Source organism: Homo sapiens, chromosome 3 (assembly GCF_000001405.40).
Source record: "Homo sapiens chromosome 3, GRCh38.p14 Primary Assembly".
NCBI classification, from domain to species: Eukaryota; Metazoa; Chordata; class Mammalia; order Primates; family Hominidae; genus Homo; species Homo sapiens.
The window spans coordinates 37,235,357-37,256,781 of record NC_000003.12 but is presented as its reverse complement, the minus strand read 5'-3'; the positions used below and the strand labels follow the sequence as shown (position 1 = coordinate 37,256,781).

At 40.7% G+C, this 21,425-nt stretch overlaps 1 protein-coding gene and 1 long non-coding RNA gene across 23 annotated transcripts in view, besides 5 other annotated features; one reads left to right on the top strand and one right to left on the bottom strand.

Annotated features, from left to right (window-relative positions):
* Positions 1-13,511, bottom strand: part of GOLGA4 (golgin A4) — a 123,609-nt gene extending 110,098 nt beyond the window's left edge. For 19 of the 22 annotated variants that reach the window (XM_005265069.4, XM_005265070.4, XM_005265071.4 and 16 more), the window contains exons 1-2: positions 13,160-13,511; positions 5,298-5,387 (exon numbers count right to left, since the gene is read on the bottom strand). In XM_005265069.4, the coding sequence (XP_005265126.1) occupies positions 5,298-5,387; positions 13,160-13,231 (162 nt within the window). In that variant the 5' untranslated portion in view covers positions 13,232-13,511. Of the gene's footprint in view, positions 1-5,297; positions 5,388-7,039; positions 7,085-11,360; positions 11,480-13,159 lie in introns of all 22 variants that reach the window. The other 3 variants (XM_047447980.1, XM_024453457.2, XM_047447981.1) reach the window with 2 other exon arrangements.
* Positions 12,587-14,991, top strand: GOLGA4-AS1 (GOLGA4 antisense RNA 1). Its single transcript, NR_149029.1, has one exon. It is a non-coding gene; the product is annotated as a GOLGA4 antisense RNA 1 (long non-coding RNA).
* Positions 13,073-13,692: an enhancer, noted in NCBI's record as "H3K27ac hESC enhancer chr3:37284581-37285200 (GRCh37/hg19 assembly coordinates)". NCBI's record gives its function as "activates a minimal SCP1, AML or CMV promoter by ChIP-STARR-seq in naive H9 embryonic stem cells {active_cell/tissue: H9 hESC(naive)}" and the evidence as "EXISTENCE:reporter gene assay evidence [ECO:0000049][PMID:30033119]".
* Positions 13,073-14,312: a biological region, named in NCBI's record as "H3K27ac hESC enhancers GRCh37_chr3:37283961-37284580 and GRCh37_chr3:37284581-37285200".
* Positions 13,090-13,884: a silencer, noted in NCBI's record as "fragment chr3:37284389-37285183 (GRCh37/hg19 assembly coordinates)". NCBI's record gives its function as "represses an EF-1alpha promoter that drives an FKBP-Casp9 reporter gene in an ReSE screen in K562 erythroleukemia cells {active_cell/tissue: K562}" and the evidence as "EXISTENCE:reporter gene assay evidence [ECO:0000049][PMID:32094911]".
* Positions 13,412-13,781: an enhancer, noted in NCBI's record as "active region_19673". NCBI's record gives its function as "activates an Ori minimal core promoter by ATAC-STARR-seq in GM12878 lymphoblastoid cells {active_cell/tissue: GM12878}" and the evidence as "EXISTENCE:reporter gene assay evidence [ECO:0000049][PMID:35858748]".
* Positions 13,693-14,312: an enhancer, noted in NCBI's record as "H3K27ac hESC enhancer chr3:37283961-37284580 (GRCh37/hg19 assembly coordinates)". NCBI's record gives its function as "activates a minimal SCP1, AML or CMV promoter by ChIP-STARR-seq in naive H9 embryonic stem cells {active_cell/tissue: H9 hESC(naive)}" and the evidence as "EXISTENCE:reporter gene assay evidence [ECO:0000049][PMID:30033119]".

The following is a 21,425-nucleotide window of genomic DNA, read 5'->3' as shown; positions in this document are numbered from 1 at the left end:
CCTAGTTAATCCCTTACAGGATCCTACATCACATGTTGCTCTAAAGCAACCCAGAACTAGGGAAGCAAAAAAGATTAACCTCAAGCAACAACAAGGACAGGAAGCCCTACTCTGAGGATAGTGGGGCTATGCCTAGGATCACCAGGAGAGAGTGCTATGATCAAATAGACAGATCTGCCATTTGCGCAGGATAGGAGAGTACCCAGAGTAGACTTAATGTAGACTTCAGAGTCAATGCAAATTCAGTCTACTCTCCTCTGCCTTCAATGTTTATAATAATATAGATTTTTTTTATGTCCCTTTTTTTTTTTGAGATGGAGTTTTGCTTTTATTGCCCAGGCTGGAGTGCAATGGCACGACCTCGGCTCACTGCAACCTCCGCCTCCTGGGTTCAAGCGATTCTCCTGCCTTAGCCTCCTGAATAGCTGGGAGTATGGTATTGAATCAAAGACAAAGAGAACAGTGGAACGGAATATATAAAGCTCAGAAACAAAGCCACTCAAATATGGACATGAATATAAAGCATGAATGTAAAACGATACTCATTAAGACAGTGTGGTATCAAAGAGAACAATGGAACAGAATAGAGAACTCAGCCACTCAAATATGGACATATGGACCCAATTAATGAAAAAATGTAGAACAGTAGAGCAGTGTGAAAAAGATGAGACAACCGGATACACATACTGGAGGGGATGAAACTTGATCCCTACTTCACACCATATTGAAAAACCATTTCCTGGGCTCAAGGGATCCTCTTGCCTCAGCCTCCTGAGTAGCTGGGACTACAGGTGCACACCACTGTGACTGGCTTGGATTTATTTTAAGTGTTAAGTGTTTTTTTGTTTGTTTGTTTGTTTGTTTGGCCCTGTGCGGTGACTCATGCCTGTAATCCCAGCACTTTACGAGGCCAAGGTGGATGGATCACTTGAGCTCAGGAGGTTGAAGCTGCGTAGTGCTGAGATTGTGCCACTATGCTTCAACCTGGGCAACAGAGTGAGACCCTGTCTCAAAAAACAAAAAAAAAAAATGCTTTTTTTTAAAAGAAAATGTGGAAATTTAGCTCAAAACATAAATATTTGTCCACCGCAACAGTAGACACAGTAAAGTCTACGTATCTGGAATGCTTAGGTGGTAGAATGGTTTCATTAAGTTAATTTCCTGATTTCATTAAGTTAAAAAAAGGTTTTGCCTTTTTATCTATTGCTGAAAATACTAATATGTCTACTTTCCTGTGTTGGTAAATACTGTATATAAACCCAAATAAATCTGTCTTTGTTTGGAGTGCCTCAGGCTTCTTTATAAAAGGGACATATAAAGGTCAGGCGTGGTGACTCATGCCTGTAATCCCAGCACTTTGGGAGGCCGAGGCGGATGGATCACCTGAGGTCGGGAGTTCAAGACCAGCCTGGCCAACATGGTGAAACTCTGTCTCTACTAAAAATATAAAAAGTTAGCCAGGCATGGTGGTGGGTGCCTGTAATCCCAGTTACTCGGGAGGTTGAGGCAGGGAGAATTGCTTGAACCCGGGAGGTGGAGGTTGCAGTGAGCTGAGATCGCACCACTGCACTCCAGCCTGGGTGACAGAGTGAGACTTTGCCTCAAAAATAATAATAATAATAATAATGATGACAACAAAACAAACCTATAAGGATTTTGACTGGGATTGCACTGAGTCTAAAGATAAGTTTGGAAAAAGCCTTAATATTGCAAATCAAACTTTATCATTTTTTTAGTATTATAAATAGCTTTCTACAGTAAGCCTTGTGGATATACATTTAAAATGCTATTGTTCTATAGGACAGATTTCTAGAAATGGGATTTCTAGATAATAGGGTATAAGTTAATTTAAAATATATATAAGCTATATATATAATATATAAGCTAATTTATATAATGTATATTATATATAATAGCTAATAATAATATAATAAGCTAATATATATAATATATAAGCTAATTTAAAAATTGTAAAAATACGGCCCGGCACAGTGGCTCGCGCCCGTAATCCCAGCACTTTGGGAGGCCGAGGCAGGCAGATCGCGAAGTCAAGAGATTGAGACCATTCTCAGCAACATGGTGAAACTCCGTCTCAAGTAAAAACACAAAAAATTAGCTGGGCATGGTGGCGAATAGTCTCAACTACTAGGGAGGCTGAGGCAGGAGAGCCACTTGAACCCAGGAGGCGGAGGTTGCAGTGAGCCAAGACTGCACCCCTGAACTCCAGCCTGGCGACTTTAAAACAATTAAACAATTGTTTAATTAAAACAATTAATTTTTTAATTAATTAAAACAATCTTTAAAACAAAACAATTAAAAAAACAAAAAACAAACAAAAAAACCTTTATTTAGATGTTGACAGCAAAATAAACAAAAGGTACATAGTACAGTTTTTGCACTCAAAGTTCATGTCATATACACTATATCCTTGATGCATATACTGAAATGATCTGATAAAGTTGCATAAAAGTACAGAGTATATACAGTTTCCTGAGATCTTATTTTCTTAAGTATTATTTACATTATTGCATTTCTTTAACTTTACCATCTCAAATACAATATTGTTGAACTCAGTTTATACATATAACCTATTTGAATGAAAGCTGCAGTACTGAGTTGTAATGTTTTTGCAATCAGTATTAATGGCATCATTTCTATACTCAGTATATTGATTGACATTATAGTATATTAGTTTGCATACAATAAAGTGAAACACTGAAAATAGTGCAGAATTATGTTGATTGCTACCATTTTTTTTTTTTTTTTGAGACTGTGTCTCGCTCTGTCGCCCAGGCTAGAGTGCAGTGGCACGATCTCAGCTCACTACAACCTCCACCTCCTGAGTTCAATTGATTCTCCTGCCTCAGCCTCCCAAATAGCTGGGATTACAGGGACGTGTCACCACGTCTGGCTAATTTTTGTATTTTTTTAGGGTTTCACCATATTGATCAGGCTGGTCTCGAACTCCTGGCCTCAAGTGATCTGCCCACCTCGGCCTCCCAAAGTGCTGGGATTACAGGCGTGAGCCACCATGCCCGGCTGACTGCTACCATTGCTTTTTTAAAATACTTTTTAAAAATCTAGGATGCTTTAAAATAATTTAATTGAATATACCTTTACAAAATAATTATTTCTGAAAGATTTGGTTTTAGCACTCTTTTACAATCGACCAAGTCAGCTAAAGTTTATTTATTTCTTTCTAAATTTTAATATTAACAATCCTAGCTAAGAGATGGTTTCGGATAGAATGACAAAGCATTGTCATCACTTCATCTCCTTGCTTTTTAAGCTTTTTTGACAACTTTAACAGGTACTTTGACCACAGAGTGCAATCTAAACCTTACTTCAACTTATTTTATAATAAATAAAGGATTTTTCAATTATATAATTAAGTTTTTGGTTAAAAGGACATTAAATTAATTTTTTCATCATTTCCCTGTACCCTATGCGGTTTCTCATTTTGTTAAACTTCTAAGATAGAAGGTACTGTCAGGGATGGGAAATGGATGGGAACCAGGCTTTTTTTTTTTTTTGAAAGACAGGGTCTTACTGTGTCACCTAGGCTGGTGCAATCATGGTTCACTGCAGCTTCGACCTCCGAGGCTCAAGTAATGCCCCTGCCTTAGCCTCCTGAGTAGCTGGGACCACACAGGTGCATGCCACCATACCTAGCTAATTTTATTTTATTTTATTTTTGCAGAAACAGGGTCTCACTCTGTTGCCCAGGCTGGTCTCAAACTCCTGGACTCAAGCAATCCTCCTGCCTTGGCCTTCCAAAGCGCTGGGATTACAGGCATGAGCCACCATACTTGGCCTAAAACTAAGAACTTCTGTTCATCAAAGGACATCATTAAAATGAATGGCAAGCCACTGAGTGGAAGATAGCTGCAAGATATATATTCAACAAAAAACTCCTTAGTATTCTATATTTTTTAAAAAACTCCTACAAATCAGTTTTAAAAAAAGATAATCCAATAGAAAATGGGCAAGGGACTTAAGCACTCACAAAAGACATCAAATGGGCAATAAACAGATGTAAATGCTCAATCTCGTTAGTTATCAGAGAATGTAAATTAAAACCAAAATGAAAGACCACCACCAGAACAGCTGAAATGAAAAAGACTGTTTTCCAGCATATTTACACAGAGTAGAAAAATAAAGACTCTCAAAAATATAGGGCAAAAGCAACTTTCATAAGCTCCTGGTGAGAATTTAAATTTCTACAACCACTCTGGAAAACCATCAGCATTATCTTCTTATGTGTTAAAATGGAGCAGTGATTCTACTCCAAAGTACATACCAACAGAAATGCAGGTACATGTACACCAAAAAAAAGTACAATAATGTTGATGGCAACATAATTCATAGTAGCCAAAACCTGTAGACAACCCAAATGTTTAACTACAATGTTTACATTTAGAAAGCATATTTAAGAGGTAAAACTATTAAAAAAAAAAAAAAAAAGGAAGCAAGCAAATACCAAAAATTCAGGATGGTGGTAATCCTTCAGGGGGAAAGGGAGCACGACAGTGCTAACAGTGTTCCTTTGCTTGACCTGGGAGGATTCACTTCATGATAATTTGCTGACCCGTGCATTTATGTTTTACCTTCTTTTTGTATGTGTGTTACACTTCACAGAAAAAAAGTGGGAAATAATGAGTTTTAATGCCAGCTGCTGGTTACATGGAATAAGTTAAATAAGTTACTTCTCAGTTTCCACTCACCAGCTTGAAAAAATGATGCTATGTTGAACAAATTTATCAAATTATTCTGAAAACTTCAACTATTAAATCCAGAACATATTATCCTCTCAAATTAAGGTTCTCAACAACCATACTTTATAAAGCATAATTGGGAGAATCACTTGAGCCCAGGAGTTCAAGACCAGCCTGAGCAACATAGTGGGACCCCGTCTACGAAAAATTTAAACGTTAGCCAGGCAGGTGGCGTGCGCCTATAGTCCCAGCTACTCAGGAGGCTGAAGTTAGAGGATCACTTGAATCCAGAAGGTCAAGGCTGCAATGTGCAGTGATCGTGCCACCACACTCTAGCCTGGGTGACAGAACCAGACCCTGTCTCAAAAACATACATACATACATACAGACAGACAGACAGACATAAATCATAACTGCTATTTGTGAAAAAAAAAAAAAAAAGACCAATTGTGTTACTAATAAAAACTCTACCTAGGAATTAAATAGCTGACCTGTCAAAAGTTTCCCATTTTGTTATCAACAGCATACATTTTAGATTAGTTTCTTTTGAGAGGTATACTAGAAAAGGAATTCCAAACTTACCTCTCTATTGGGTGTACCTTCATCAAGTTGCTCTGTAAATGAAGATGTCCTGCTCCTCATTCTTGTTGGTGTTGAAGAATTGGAGGACGCCTAGATTTAAAAATTATTGCACAAATTAGCAAGACTATATTGACTAGTGAACTATGAACTAGGTAGTCCTTCTCTCAGTCCATGCCCAAAGAATTCAGTGAAAGAAAGGAAAAGAGCAAAAACACGAAAAGCAGAAAAGGATAACAAATATAATCAACTAGAAAACCCAGGCTACCTACTAGGTCCCTGGCCTAACTCTGCCACCAACTAGAACTATGATCTTAGCTACATGAACTTTTTGAGGACTATGTGTCTCCATATATAAAATAAAGTTGCGATACTAGTGTAAGATGATAATATTAGAGAAAACTGAAGCCAGGTGAGGGGTATATAAAAACTCTCTGCACTATCTTTAGAACTTTTCTATAAACCAAAATTATTCCAAAATTAGAAGTTCATTTAAAAAAAAAAGGCTGGCAATTCAATCTTTAAGATCCCTTCTACCTTCTAGCTCTAACATTCAATAGTATGAAATGCACAGATAAACAGCACTTGCCCACCTAATTAATGGCCTTGCTTTGAGCCTACCTTGAATACCACTGCTAAATACTGAGATGCTATTCCATTTAGCTCTGTAATTGACAGCCTGACTCCTATAACCCTCAGCGCAAAAAAACTCAGGAGAAAGGGCTCAAAATTTAAACTAGAGGTCTGGGGTCTACTCTAAGGTGAGCTAAAAACAACCCTAAAAGTATAAAACCAAAATTTTGAAATCCCCCTACACCCACAGCAAAATAGATCTGAACTCAGATCTATTTTGAGAAATGAATGAGTCATGATATCTTACCTCTTTTTGTAGTCTGCACTTTACAAAAGGCAGTTAATAAATATTTGTCAAATAAATGAATGAATGAATAAACAAATGGAACTCTGGTCTGTGGTATCCGTGCACAAACTGCTGTGGTTAGGGTGGAACTGAGAGGTCGTGAGGAATAGTATACAAATATACACATACTCTATATACACATATATACATCCAGACAGACATATACATATTTAGCTTATGATAAAAGTAACATTTTGCATCAGGATAGACATTCAATAAATGTTGGGACAACTGGCCATCCATATGGGGCAAGACACACAAATCAGATCCTTCATACTTAAGCTATATTAAAGATTTAATTTTTTTTATTGAAATACAAAAAATTCAAGAGTCTATTTCTACAATCTCTGAATGGGAAAGAGATTTTTATGTGAAAAACAAATCAAAGCAGCAGTTTAATTGGGAGGTGAGGAAAAGCATCTACAAATATGACAAAAGTTTAATAACCTTTTTTCTATAAACAGCTCTTATAAGTCCGTAAGTTAGAACTCAGAAAACTTACTAACCCAATCTTCTTTTTATCTGAGACAGGGTAACCTGAGCTCCATCAATGAAACACATGAGACTTCGAGTCATAAGTGAGTGATGTGAAAAAACAGACATACAAATAAAGTTCATCATCTGATGACAATGGAGACAGAACTTCATGCATCCACACAAATATAAGCTGTGAAGTGACAGATGCAATGCTGGTGCCAAGCTGAAGCAGCTGCAACACAGAGTAGTCTCCCCAGTATAACTGGACGTAGCAATCAGCTCAGACTTTTGGGACCTCAGGGAAATTCTGTAGGGTAAAGAGTCTTCAATAAATTATTTTTCTGCTTACCTAGATTGACTTTTTGTTGCTTACAACCAAGAACTCCAACACCTTCTAAAAGATGAACCAGAAAAATCAATACAACAGATGAAATTAGCTATGTGCAGAAGTCACCTTAAGGGATGACATATCCTCTCCCACCAAAGACAAAACAGGAAGAATAAGGACTTAAAAACATGAACAAGAGTAGTGTTGTGCGCCTGTAATCCCAGGTACTCAGGAGGCTGAGGCAGGAGAATTGCTTCAACTGCAGAGGTTGCAGTGAGCCAAGATTGCACCACTACACTCCAGCCTGGGTGACAGAGCAAGACTCCGTCTCAAAAAAAAAAGCATATAAACAAGAAAATCAATCAATGTGAAATAAAGTTGAAGCCTTAGCAATGGTTTAAATGTCTAGAAAATATGTGACTAAAAGTCAACATTGTACTTAGAAAATGGCAAGGGAAAGCACAGTCACTGTGTAGTATTAGTCTCAGTCTTGGAATAAGTTTGAGCCTACCTTGAACACCACGTTCAAATTACAAATGTTCAAAGAACATCAGAAATAGCTTTCATTAAAGTTGAGATAAATTCAATAAACCCTTCCCACACCTAGAGCCATAATTTGCAAACCATGCCAGTGCCAGCTTCAAAGGCTGTAGGTGCCTCAAAGGCTGCCACTATGGGGGCAGCCTTTTGTATCTATGTATTTATAAATGATTATATCTAAGAACTCCTTTAATAAAATGGTCACTGGGTGGTAAAAAGTTAGAAAAGTACTACTAGACCACAGGAAATACCTCTTGACTAATCAACTCTCTCTGTTGTGATTCTATCATGTCTAAGAAATCTCTGGGTTATTAATTCAGCTTTCCAAATATCCAGATGCCAGGAAAGGGCTACCTTAGACAGTGACCTTCCAACTGCTTAAAAAGTATACCTCACTGCAAATCTGAAAAATTGGCATTACGTCTTACACCTTGGCCTCATATGGTCTAATCAGTAACTGAGAGCCTCATCAGCTCTGGAGAAACTGACAAAAAAATCAAATAACGGGGTTTACAAAGTTTAACAGATTCTAAAACATACTCTCCCTAGAAAAGTAGTACTATCTGGCAAAACGTGGCCTGATGACTTGTTGATCTTCCTCTGGATCTTCCTCTGGAGTTACAAGAGTAAGAATTATATGAGAAAATGGATGTGAGTATAAAGTATATAACAGTGCATAAAGAACTAACTGTACTTCAGCATTTGTCCCAGGTGCCTGGTTCCTTAATGGGCTATCCTCACTTCAAGATATAAAGGGATTTAGGTTCCTTCAAACCAAACTTGAGCTGATTAATTGCAATAGCCATAAGAAATCTGAGTCAGCTTTCTAAGCTGTTAACCAAAAAACCTGACAGCTACATCCAGACCCACAATTAATATTTTATTGCCCACTGCCTAATTATTAACTGACCACAGTTATACTCAATTTCAGTGTAAGAAAAACCATTTTAGCTGTGCACAGTGGCTCATGCCTGTAATCCCAACACTTTGAGAGGCCAAGGCAAGACGATCACTTGAGGCCAGGAGTTCAAGACTGCCTGAGTAACACAGTAAGACCCTGACTCTACAAAAACTTAAGAAAAACCATTTTAGTCATTGTGATAAGCAAAACTGTAAGATGACCCCAAATGACCCCTGCCCTGTGAATATAATGAGCTATCACTCTCATAATTGTTATATTACAGGGCAAAGGGATTTTAAAGGCATATTTAAGGTTACTAGGTTACTAATCAGTTGACCATGAGTTCATCAAAAGATTACCTGGATGGGTCTAAACTAATTACATAAGCCCTTCAAATATGGGTCTAGAGGGCAGAGGGACGTACTTCTGCTGTCCTGAAAGAAAGCAAAATGCCTACAGGGGCACGTGGCAAGGAGCTGCTGGTAGCCTCTAAGCCGAAAGTGGTCAGCAAGAAATGAAGGCCCCAGTCCTATAACCAGAAAGGACTGAATTCTACCACAACCACATGGGCATACAAAAAGATCCTGAGCTCCAGATGAGAAAGCAGCTTGGACAACATATTGATTTTAGCCTTGCAAGACCCTGAGCAGAGAACCCAGTCATGCCATGCCAGACTTCTGACCTACAGAACTATAAAATAATAACTGGGTTATTAGGCACTAAGGTTGTGGTAACTTGTTATGCAATATTAGAAAACTAATCCAGTCATCCTTAGGAATAAGCCTTGAATCCCTTGTCCCTATACCATGACTTTTCATTATCCATCAAGGCTCTACTCAGATGTCACCCTGATCTTCTCCAGAAATGCCTTATTTTGCACAACTACAACACCCTGTATATATCACTATTACACTGAAAGTACTTGTCTCTCAACTCCATTGTGTAGGGACTACATAGACCCTTCAAAGCAAATGCAACATCCAGCAGAGGACCTAGGCATTCACTGTTCATAACTAACATCTGGTTCATTTCACTCTCCCTACAACACCTATGGATTAGTCACAGCAGAGACACAGCCATTGAATCCTCATCACAGCACTGTTGTAAGTCACTGCCAAATCAATTTGACATCCCAGTTCTAAAAGAGCAGTCAAAGTAACTTGGGGTTAATTCTTCAAATAAACCTTTATATTTTAGGTACCAAACTTATTAAAGCCTTTCATCATGTTCTTAATAAACTACCTTCTGATCTAAATGTTTTCTCTGGGACTCATGCTTTCCCCAATTTCAAGACTGAAACTATTTAGTAAACTTGGATTTACAATAAGGCTATGTCCCTTCAGAAAGGACTCTTTTCCCTGTTATCTGTGGAACTGTTTGCTGGTTTTTTTGTTTTTATTTTTTAAATTTATATCACATAAACTATTATTTTGGGGTCTCACTCTAAAAGAGTGAGGTCAGCTGCCATCTCTGAGCTGAGGGAAAAAAATAAGGGATGATTCTGCAGGCATAAGGAGGGGCGTATATGTTGATTTTTTAAAAATATACATAACATAAAATTTACCATTTTAAACATTTGTAGCTGTACAATTCAGTGGCATGAACTACATTCACACTGTTGTGGAATCACCACCATCCATCACCAGTACGTTTTCATCTTTCCAAACTAAAACTCTGTACCCACTACACAGTAACTCCCCATTCTCTCCTCTCTCCAGCCTTTGGCAACAACCATTCTATTTTGTCTCTAAGAATTTGACTACTCTAGGTACCTCAATTAAGTGGAGTCATGTATTCATCCTTTTGTATCTATACTTCTATAATTTTTAAGTTTTAGAAGTACTTGAAAAGGCTAAAAATGTTTTAAAATATTTGTATTCATGTACTACATATATCCCAAGAAATTACAATGTCTGTATTACTTCTTGATGTTTCTTTTATTGACTTAGTTCTTTAAGGAGTTTAAAAATCCAAAATAGGTATTTGTTGTTAAAACATATTTTTTTTTTTTTTTTTGAGACGGAGTCTCGCTCTGTCTCCCAGGCTGGAGTGCAGTGGCACGATCTCAGTTCATTGCAACCTCTGCCTCCCAGGGTCAAGCAATTCTCCTGCCTCAGCCTCTGGAGTAGCCAGGATTACAGGTGTGCGCCACCACGCCCCACTAATTTTTGTATTTTTAGTAGACCTCAGGTGATCCGCCCGCCTTGGCCTCCCAAAGTGCTGGGATTACAGGCATGAGCCACGGTGCCAGGCCAGAAATGGGATTTTGCCATCTTGGCCAGGCTGGTCTTGAACTACTGAGTTCAAGCGATTCAAAGTGCTGGGATTACAGGCGTAAGGCCACCATACCAGGCCACATTTTTTGTTTCTAAGATCACAACAATTCACAAGCAAGGAGAAAAATATATGGCAGGCAGAAAGAAAGGTTACAAAATAATTATCAAAAGTAGACCACGAATGGCCAGGCGCAGTGGCTCACACCTGTAATCCCAGCATTTTGGGAGGCCGGGGCTGGCGGATCACCAGAGGTCCGGAGTTGGAGACCAGCCTGGCCAACATAGTGAATATACATATAATCCAAAAGGATTATTTTAAACCTTTCGTACACAAAGTGATTTTATTTGATCCAGATGCCCTGTCTCACCAGAAGCATTAAGCTATAGAAACAGAGCTCTTATATCTTAGTTTGTGACTAGCTTATTATTACTAAAAACCTCTTTGTTAATGAACAAAAACAATTCATTTTCACGAAGAAAAGCTAAACACTACAAATAAGAAAAAGCACACTCAATAATTCACCAGCACCTTAAAGTATATTCTTCTTAAACTAGTTTTACTATGTGTGTATATAAATACACTTACATACAGATTCTTTTTCCCAAAACTGGGATCACATTTTACCTGCTGCTTCTGTCTTTTAACACAAATATCCTTCTGTGTTAATACTTTTCTGAAGACTCTAACACTAGCTGCGTAACATTAGGCAAGTTACTTCACCTCTTCGAGCCTCACTCCTTCATCTATAAAAGAGGAATTATAGTATTATCTACCTCACAGGTTTATGTGAGATTAAATAATCTGTGTAAATACTAAGCAAAATGTCTGGTACATACTAATGACACAGTAAATGTTGACTTTTTATGGCTGCATAATAACCTATGAAGCATAACTAATTGCCTGATAAAATTTAACCAATTCTCTATTGTTGGACATTTTTGGCTAGTTTTTAACCTATTAAAACAACATTGACGTGAAAATCCATAGAGCTAAATCTTTAATACAACCTAAATTTTCTTAGAATAAATTTCTAGAAATGGAATCCTGGCTCAATTACATTTTATACATTCCCAAGTGGAAGTGCCTTACATTCACTAACATGCCCATTTCCTCACATTCCTCATCTCTACCTCACTTTTAAAGTTTATCTTTGTTTCTTAATTAACAGTGTTTTGTAAAATTGTAAATGACTGCAATAGATGGTATGAAAAGGACAATCTTTACCATTTAAATTTTAATTACCATTTGCACTTGAGAAAAGAAGCAACCCTTCAGTGTTGTGTTCTGATGTTTTTCTCAAGCACTGTTTTACTACACATGAGCTTTACATTTAAAAAGAACAACTTCAATTTATAGTTTCAGAATAAACCTAATGCAATCGTTGTATGTTAAGAATTTAGAAATGCCTCCAAGTTAGTCAAAACTCAGCTTTTCTTGCAACCGCAAGCAAAGACCAAAAACCCTAAAATTAAGGGACAGATCTGCTCAGTCTGTTGAAATTCAAAAAGGCTGGGAAGAAATTAAGCAGAAACCGACGTCTTCGCTGTTAAGACCCTGTGCTGCCAGCATCGAAACATCTCCAGTGAACGCTTAGGAAATTGTTTCTTTAAATTAATACTACTTAACACGCCTCCTTTTCCCTGGAAACGCATTTCCTAAAGCAACAGCATTCCTGAAAAACAAGCATAACCCTGTCCGCAGAGCAGCAAGACTTAAAAAGCAGAGCAGAGCTCCGGACAGGCAGAGTGTCTGCCCCTCCGCCCGCCAGTCCCGGATTAACCAAGTTATGCGAAGTGACTAACTCGTGACAGCCTCGGGCGCTGGACGCCGGCCACGCCGCCACGTCTTTCAGGTCCCACCGCTCCTACCAGCAGCCTGACCCAGGATGGCTCTACTCCCCAGCCTTCAATCCCTGGACCTGGGTTTGGAATTAGGAGACTTCCGTCGAGGGTCAATTGTGCGGGATCCTGGCCATTCCATACAAAATCTCACGACTGGCAAAAGAGAGGGGGACCCCTCGAGCAGAGGTCAGATATCACAAGGGACCCGGGTTTTTCCACCCCGCCCTCATTCCCAGCGTGGGGTCTCAGATGAGTGGGAAAACCTCAAATATGGATCAGAAATCATGCAAGTTCGGACTCTGGCCTTAGGAGAAAACTCTTAACGGAGATGGAATGTCACGAGGGATCCAGCCACCCCCATCCACTCATTGACTGGATGAAGTTTTGCGATGGGAAAATCCAGGTCAGGAGTTACGGACGACCTGCACCGCCCGGAGCTCCTTCTGGGTCCGGAGTTTGGGAAAAGTGCGGGTTAGGGGTTAAAGGTCACGGAAGAACTTCCCCACTCCCCCCGCCTCTTTCGTCCGCGGGCCGGTTCAAGAGGTATTCGGAACCAGGGGAGGAGAGCGGCGGCCATCGTACCTGAGCAGGAGCCAGCGCCTGCTGGAGCTGCTGCTGCTCCTCGCTGATCTTTTGCTTCAGTTTCTTGAACATGGCGCAGCGTACGTACGGTCCTGAGTGTCAACGAAACCTGAAGGGCGAGAGCCCGGGGAGTCCCGGCCGCGACGGCTACGGCGACTTCTTTACACCAGGGACAGCGGGGGCCGGGCCTCGCCGTCTCCTCCTTGAGGCTGTGGGCAAGTCCGGACACTCGTCCTGAGGGTGTCGGCGTCGCCGCCGCCGCGTCTCTTTCTTCCGGGTGCCACTGGCTGGCCTCGGCCCCCCATCCAGCCCCGGGAGCCGCGGCGGCGACGACAACGGCAGCAGGTGAACTGTGCGCCAAGGGCGCTTGCGCGGCCTACGTGGAGCTCACAGAGGCTAACTACGGAGCACCGGATGGGACAAGCACAATGTCGGGTCCCGCACATGCGCGCTCGGCCGGTCGCTTCCGAACTCGCTGCACTGGAGGACGCAAGGTTCGGTCCTGCCTGATTTCGTTGCGTGCGGAGACCGCCGTCGCGGCTCAGAACCGGAGCGTGGGCTAGTCTGAACACTACCCTGACTCTCACCTGGGCTTTGGCCCTGCGAAATCAGACGGGGAGAGTGCTGCTTCTATCGATGGCAGCAGGGCCGACGGGCCCACCGCAAAGAACACAGGGATGAGCGTCAAGGATGGGAGAAGGGGAGATCCAGAGAACCTGACGCGGGCCCTAATTGATAGTGTTCTTTTCTTTAGTAGCTGTAGCTAGGATTCTGTGTCTTCGGTGCCAGAGGGGCCCGCTTCCCTTCCCTGAACTCTTCCAGCGTCGGGAAGTCCCTGATACCAGGCGCCAGGGGTCCAAATGTTTTATGCCAATACTGTAAAACCTCAAGTGTTTGGACACCTGCTTTATTCTTTTCTTCACCGAAATCGTGTATTTCACGAATTCATTCAAAAACCTTTATCAGGCCTTGGAGATGTTAAAAGAATTTACAGCCTAGTGGAAGACACAGATTCCTAATTAGTCCAAATTTACTCCTAACACCTGCAATCATCCTACAAGATCTTAATGTTTATGTGCCTCATTTATCTAAAACCCTGAACTTTGGCTGCCTGTGAATCCTCAGGTCCATTTCAGCAACCCACTTTTGCATGCTGTACCTTTGATATCATCTGAAACTGCTTACATTGTCTCCGGTATCAGAATCTAACAGTATATGCTGATCTCCACGTTCTAGCAAATTTTGTTTACCAGCAATAATAGGAGCAACCTGCTCTCGAGAGTCCATATTCTGATCCCTAAATGTATTAGAGCCACAGTGGGGCCTGGAACACTGCCTTAACACCTGGGCTAAGTCCTCTTATATCTCGTAGTGAACACCTTATGTATGTAAGGTGTCCCCAGCCCCCGGGCCACAAACGGGTACCAGCCCATGGCCTGTTAGGAACCGGGCTACACAGCAAGAAGTGAATCTCTGGCAAGCCAGGGAAGCTTAATCTGTATTTACAGCTGCTCCCCATGGTTCACATTATCGTCTGAGCTCCACCTCCTGTCAGATCAGCTGTGGCATGAGATTCTCATAGGAGCTGGAACTACTGTGAACTAGGCATGAGAGGGATCTAGGTTATGCTCCTTATGAGAATCTAATGCCTGATGATCTGTCACTGTCTCCCATCACCCCCAGATGGGACCATCTAGTTGCAGGAAAATAAGCTCAGGGCTCCCACCGATTCTACATTATGGTGAGTTGTGTAATTGTTTCATTATATATTACAATGCAATAATAATAGAAATAAAGGGCACAATAAATATAATGCACTTGAATCGTCCAAAACCATCCTTCCCCATCCACCTAGCCCCCACCCCCAGGAAAAAATTGTCTTCCATGAAACAGGTCCCTGGCACCCAAAAGATTGGGGACCACTGCCTTATATAGTTACTGAGAGTTTTTTCTGGGCTTTTTTGTTTTGTTTTGTTTTGTTTTTCAGGAGTACTTAACTCTCAGCCGGGTACAGTGGCTCATATCTGTAATCCCAGCACTTTAGGAGGCCGAGGCGGACAGATCATTTGAGGTCAGGAGTTCGAGACCAGCCTGGCCATCGTGGTGAAACCCGGTCTCCACTAAAAATACAAAAATTAGCTGGGTCTGGTGGTACATGCCTGTAATCCAAGCTAATCGGGAGATTGAGGCAGGAGAATTGCTTGAACCCAGGAGGCGGAGGCTGCAGTGAGCTGAGGTCGTGCCACTACCCTCCAACCTGGGAGACAGAGTGAGACTCCATCTCAAAATAAAAATAAAAAGAGTACTTAACTCTCAACTGACGGAAGTTCAATAGGCCTTCAACTGCTTTCAGCTCCAGATGCCCAATATACATCTTCCCCCCAATTTTCACAATTTTGCATCAAAGTTTGTCAATTTTATATGTATACATATATATGCATATATCTGTGTTTGTACATATATGTGGGCCCTATCAAAGCCAACTATTCTAAATAATAAATAAAAAGGATCCAAGATATCACTTAGAGAAAGACATCAGAAGAGTGCTAATTATGTGAAAAGGGATAGCTTTGCCAGGACACAAAAAAGGAGACAGGGTTGAAACCCTTCATCACATGTAACACAATGTTGTTAAAACATTAAACCTCCTCACAGCCACATTCTGCTTCAGGTCTCTGCAAATTAACATTCTTTCAGTCGGAAAGAGCAGTCTTTCTGACTGCTCTTAAACCTAGAAATTACTCAATTCTTCAGCTCCTCTGGGTGGCACAAATTTGGATGCAAATCACCTTTTGTAGTCTCAGGCTTTGGCCCACTTCTCAGAATTCTGCACCAATCCAGCTGAAGCACACGGCCTGCCCCCGTTTTCTGTTAGTAATTTGAACTCATTTCCTATCTAGCTGCTCAAGGATTAGCACACCTCACCGCAGAGCAGGATATTTAAAACAGGCTTGCATTTCAGTCATAATGATCAAAGGCCTCATGAATTTATTTTCCCAGTGGAACTAGTACCCACCTTTTTCAACACAAAGAAGCAATTCTAGTAGTTATAGACCAACTGTCATTCTTCCACCCCTTCCAATTGCACAAAATGCAAATACTATCTCCATGTTTCAGAAAATTTTCAGAATAACATAATTGCTAGGGGTTCAGATTGCTTTCCAAGCCTTAGATTTAACAAAATAGCATGTCAGAAAATGCTTCTAGTCAAGAACCAATACACATCTGAAACCTTCAACTGATTTCCTACTTTCTGACCAGAAACGTATCATCAGTCCTTTTGCGTCACCACACAATGCATTTTCTTAACCCTTATCAAGAATCCTTGTACCTGCCAACCACAACAGTATAGTATAATGGTTAAGAGCACAGTCTTTGGTTTACACAAAAGTCATCAATTTTTAGGCAGGGTGCGGTGGTTCATGCCTGTAATCCCAACCCTTTGGGAGGCCGAGGCGGGTGGATCACCTGAGGTCAGGAGTTCAAGACCAGCCTGGCCAACATGGCAAAACCCCGTCTCTACTAAAAATACAAAAAAAATTAACAAGGCATGGTGGCAGATGCCTGTAATCCCAGCTACTCAGGAGGCTGAGGCAGGAGAATCGCTTGGACCTGGGAGGCAGAGGTGGCAGTGAGCTGAGATCGTGCCACTGCACTCCAGCCTGGGCAACAAGAGCGAAACTCTGTCTCAAAAAATAAAAAATAAAAAAAGTCATCCATTTTCTAGTTCTTTAACCTTTGGCACTTAAGCAAACCACAGTATACAAAATCAAATGCCTAAAGGGAACAAGAGGTTATGAGTAAAGCACATATACATAGGATTTAAGACAATGGAAAATGTAGGAAGGTAACAAATGACAGTGTGAACACATCTAGAGGCATTTTTAAATCAACGCAACAAAACAACTCTTAGAATAAAATTCAGCCCAAAGGCCAGATTGTGACCTCTGAGTCTTAGCTCTCTGCATTTCATTTTCCTCATCTTTAATAATTTAATACTATTTCATAGGATTGTTGTGAAGTTCAAATGAGATGATATGCGTAAAGCGTACAATTCACAGTAAATGAAACTTATCAATTCTAAGAGTTTAATTCTCACTCATAACGCTCTCCCTCTGTATGTTGAGAACTCCAGCCTACACCTTTCCCCTGAGCTCTAGATCAAGCTTGTCCAACCCACGGCCCCATAGGCTGCATGTGGCACAGGATGGCTTTGAATGTGGCCCAATACAAATTCATAAACTTTCTGAAAACATTATGAGATTTTTTTGTGATTTTTTTGGGGGGGGCTATCAGCTATTGTTAGTGTATTTTATGTGTGGCCCAAGCCAATTCTTCCAGTGTGGTCCAGGGAAGCAAAAAGATTAGACACCCCTGCTCTAGACTATAGCATCTCCACTGGGCTCTCAGGTTGAGCAGGGCCAAGAACTATGTCTGTCATGCATCCCAGTCAGTGCTAGTACAGGGCCTGACACTACATTTCTACAGAGTTAGTATTTTTTGTTTTTTTTTTTAAACAGAGTCTTACTCTGTTGCCCAGGCTGGAGTGCAGTGACGCGATCTCGGCTCACTGCAACCTCCGCCACCTGGGTTCAAGCAATTCTCCTGCCTCAGCCTCATGAGTAGCTGGGACTACAGGCCTGTGCCACCAAGCCAACTAATTTTTGTATTTTTAGTAAAGACGGGATTTCACCACGTTGGCCAGACTGGTCTCAAACTTCTGACCTCAAGTGATTCGTCCACCTCCGCCTCCCAAATTGCTGGGATTACAGGAGTGAGCCACTATGCCAGGGTTTTGTTTTTTTAAATACACTACCAATGGGGGAAAAAAAAACAATTAATCTTAATACATCCACTTGCCTTAATGGCCAACTGGGCAACTTCCCTTAATGGCCCTCCTTAATGGCCCACAGGCATCTCACCTTCAACATCTCCAAAAACAAAATCATCTGCTACTACCCCTCTACCATCACCATCAGGCTTGTCCCTTCTGTGTTTCCTCTTACCCTCTTGCTGCTTCTCCTTTTCATAAGCTTGTTTTTTCATCTATATTTTCTACCTTGGCTGGTGTAATCTCCATCTTCCCAGTTACCAAAGCCAAAAGTTTGGAAGTCAATCAAGACATCTCTCTCTATACATCACCCATATCCAGAGAATCACTAAGTCTTGTGTATTTTCCTCTGAAATACTTCTGAAATCCATCTGCTTTCCTAATTTACCCCGCCACTAGTTTCAGTCTTCATTATAGCTTATCATTTAAATGGCCCCCCAGTTTCCAGTTTTGCTTCTTTCCAATCCATCTTCCACATAGCTGATGTTACTCTCCTGCTGCAACCCCATCAGTGGTCACCTTGTCCTACATAACAGTGTTCGTGCTACCAGGCAGTACAAGAAGCCCTCAGCAGCCTGGCTCCTGCTTTCCCTCTTACTAAACCCTGGCCACTCTTCACACTTCAAAGTTCCAGAAATGTCAAATTAACTCAGGGTTCCCTTGGCACATTCTGCTTTTTCTTTTTTTAAGAGAGAGAGAGAGAGACAGGGTCTCACTGTGTTGCCCAGGCTAGTCTCCAACACCTGGGCTCAGGTGTTCCACATGCCTCAGCCTCCCTGATGTTCTGAGATTACAGGTGTGAGCCGCCACACCTAGCCACATCCTGCTTTTATTTTATTTTATTTTTTTTTGAGATGGTGTCTCAGTCTGTCACTCAGGCCAGAGTGCAGTGACATGATCTCGGCTCACTGCAACCTCTACTTCCTGGATTCAGGCGATTCTCCTGCCTCAGCCTCCCTAGTAGCTGGGATTATAGGCATATGCCACTACGCCCCGCTAATTTTTGTATTTTCAGTAGAGACGGTTTTGCCATGTTGGCCAGGCTGGTCTCGAACTCCTGACCTCAGGTGATCCGCCTGCCTCAGCCTCCCAAAGTGCTGGGATTACAGGCGTGAGCCACCACACCTGGCCCACAACCTGCTTTTATATACGTGCTTGCCTTTCTTTTTTTTGGTCTACAAATTATATAGAGCAGTTGTGAAAATCATGAGTACGGCAGTGTACTCATTGTCCTCCTTGACTGTACCTTTCTTCCTTTTCCACTTTGCCTCTCTACCCTGGACAATGCTGTGCTCATATTTCATAATCTCTTTCAAGCATTCTCTAATACCACTCCCCAAACCACCCCCGACACACACATATCAGTGGAGTTAATCATGCTCTCCTCTATACAGCCTCAGTCTTACATGCTGTTAATGTATGTATCACACTGAATTTTTATCTTCTTTTGTTACAAAAGTAATATGCTCACTGTAACAAATGTAATCTGGTTCCTGCAAATAACCTCTATTAGTAATTCATTTTTCGTTTTTTTAATTTTTCTGTATTTATAAAATATATACATTTAATTATCTATACATAAAATATATGAAATATATACATTTAATTATACATAAATATATTTAGTTTTGTTTTATGAAAAATTGATTATACAAAATCCATATCTTGCTTTCTTCAATTAATATGCCATGAATATCATTTCTAATCAGTATATGTATTTCAATCCCTTTAATGGCTGCATAGTATTTTATACTATGTATGAATTATAATTTAAGATTTCTAATTGGTAGGCATTTAGCTTCTCTCCTGTTTTTTGCTAATAAAAAACTATTAAAGTGAGCAACTTTATAAATAAATGTTTGTATACTAGTGTGTATGTTTCTGTAGAAAATAATGGATTTCTGGCCGGGAGTGGTGGCTCACGTCTGTAATCCTAGCACTTTGGGAGGCCAAGGCAGGTGGATCACGAGGTCAGGAGATTGAGACCCTCCTGGCCAACGTGGTGAAACCCCGTCTGTACTAAAAATACAAAAATTAACCTGGCATGGTGGTGCGCCCCTGTAGTCCCAGCTACTCGGGAGGCTGAGGCTGGAGAATCACCTGAACCAGGGAGTCCAAGGTTTCAGTGAGCCGAGATGGTGCCACTGCACTCCAGCCTGGCGACAGAGCGAGACTCCGTCTCAAAAAAAAAAAAAAAAGAAAAAAGAAAAAAGAAAATAATGGATTTCTAGAAGTATAATTGAGAGTTCCATCCAATGAGCATGATTAATGCCAACTTGATCTCCAAAATGTATAGCAATTTATATTTCTACTGATAGTGTGGGAAATGCCCTTATGAATATGTTTTTAATTTTTTGTCAGTCAAAAAGATGGTGAATCGTATTTTACTTTTGTTGTAGTTTCCATTTATTTAATTATAAGCAATGTTAAAACGTCATCTTAAGTGTGTATGTTATCATAGTTCTTTCACATTGTATTACACAATTCATGTAACCCAGATATTTGCTCTTCCTTTTCCCCTAAGGGACAATTCCCTCTAAGTATATTTAGGGAAGTAAAATAGTCCTTCATCTTCCAAGTTATGTGTTCTTCTCACTGTCTCTTTACTTTTGCTAAATCACCTCTCTGCTATGGGACACTTCTCCATTTGTTACTGGTCTCAGCCTGGACAGCATGACTGCAGTTCCCTGGGGATCTTGATGCTTATGCTTCCAAGGGGTTTTACGGGATGGGAGTTGGGGGAGAGGGGGGAATGAGTTGAATTTAGGGTAGGTGTCACATATTTTATGACCCCAGCTCTTACTTCCTTTCATTACAGTTCTACTCAAGATATGGAGGTGGGAGAAGAGAGACTTTTGTTGTAACAAGTAACAAAGATGTAGAAATTGAAATATTTGTATTACTATATTGTTTTAATATACTTCATTAGAAAGCTTCGAAATGTTATGTTGTTAATATTTACTTTTACAGGAGAATATTGTAAGGCTATGTAAATTTTAATTATAAAACAGTTGGAAAACCTCTCATGGAAGAAAGTTCTACACATCAGAGTCTAAACTTAGACTCTCTGGAATTTAGCCAACTTTTCAGCCTGGTATAACTTATCTTTAGAGGGTTTTTAAAAATGTTTGTTGTTACAGGCTCACGCCTGTAATCCTAGCACTTTGGGAGGCTGAGGTGGGCAGATCATGAGGTCAGAAGTTCAAGACCATCCTGACCAACATGGTGAAACCCCATCTCTACTGAAAATATAAAACTTAGCCGGGCGTGGTGTCACATGCCTGTAATCCCAGCTACTTGGGAGGCTGGGGCAGGGGAATTGCTTGAACCTGGGACACAGAGGTTGCAGTGAGTTGAGATCGCACCACTGCTCTCCAGCCTGGGTGACAGAGCAAGACTCCGTCTCAAAAAAAAATTTTTTTTTAATTTAAAATT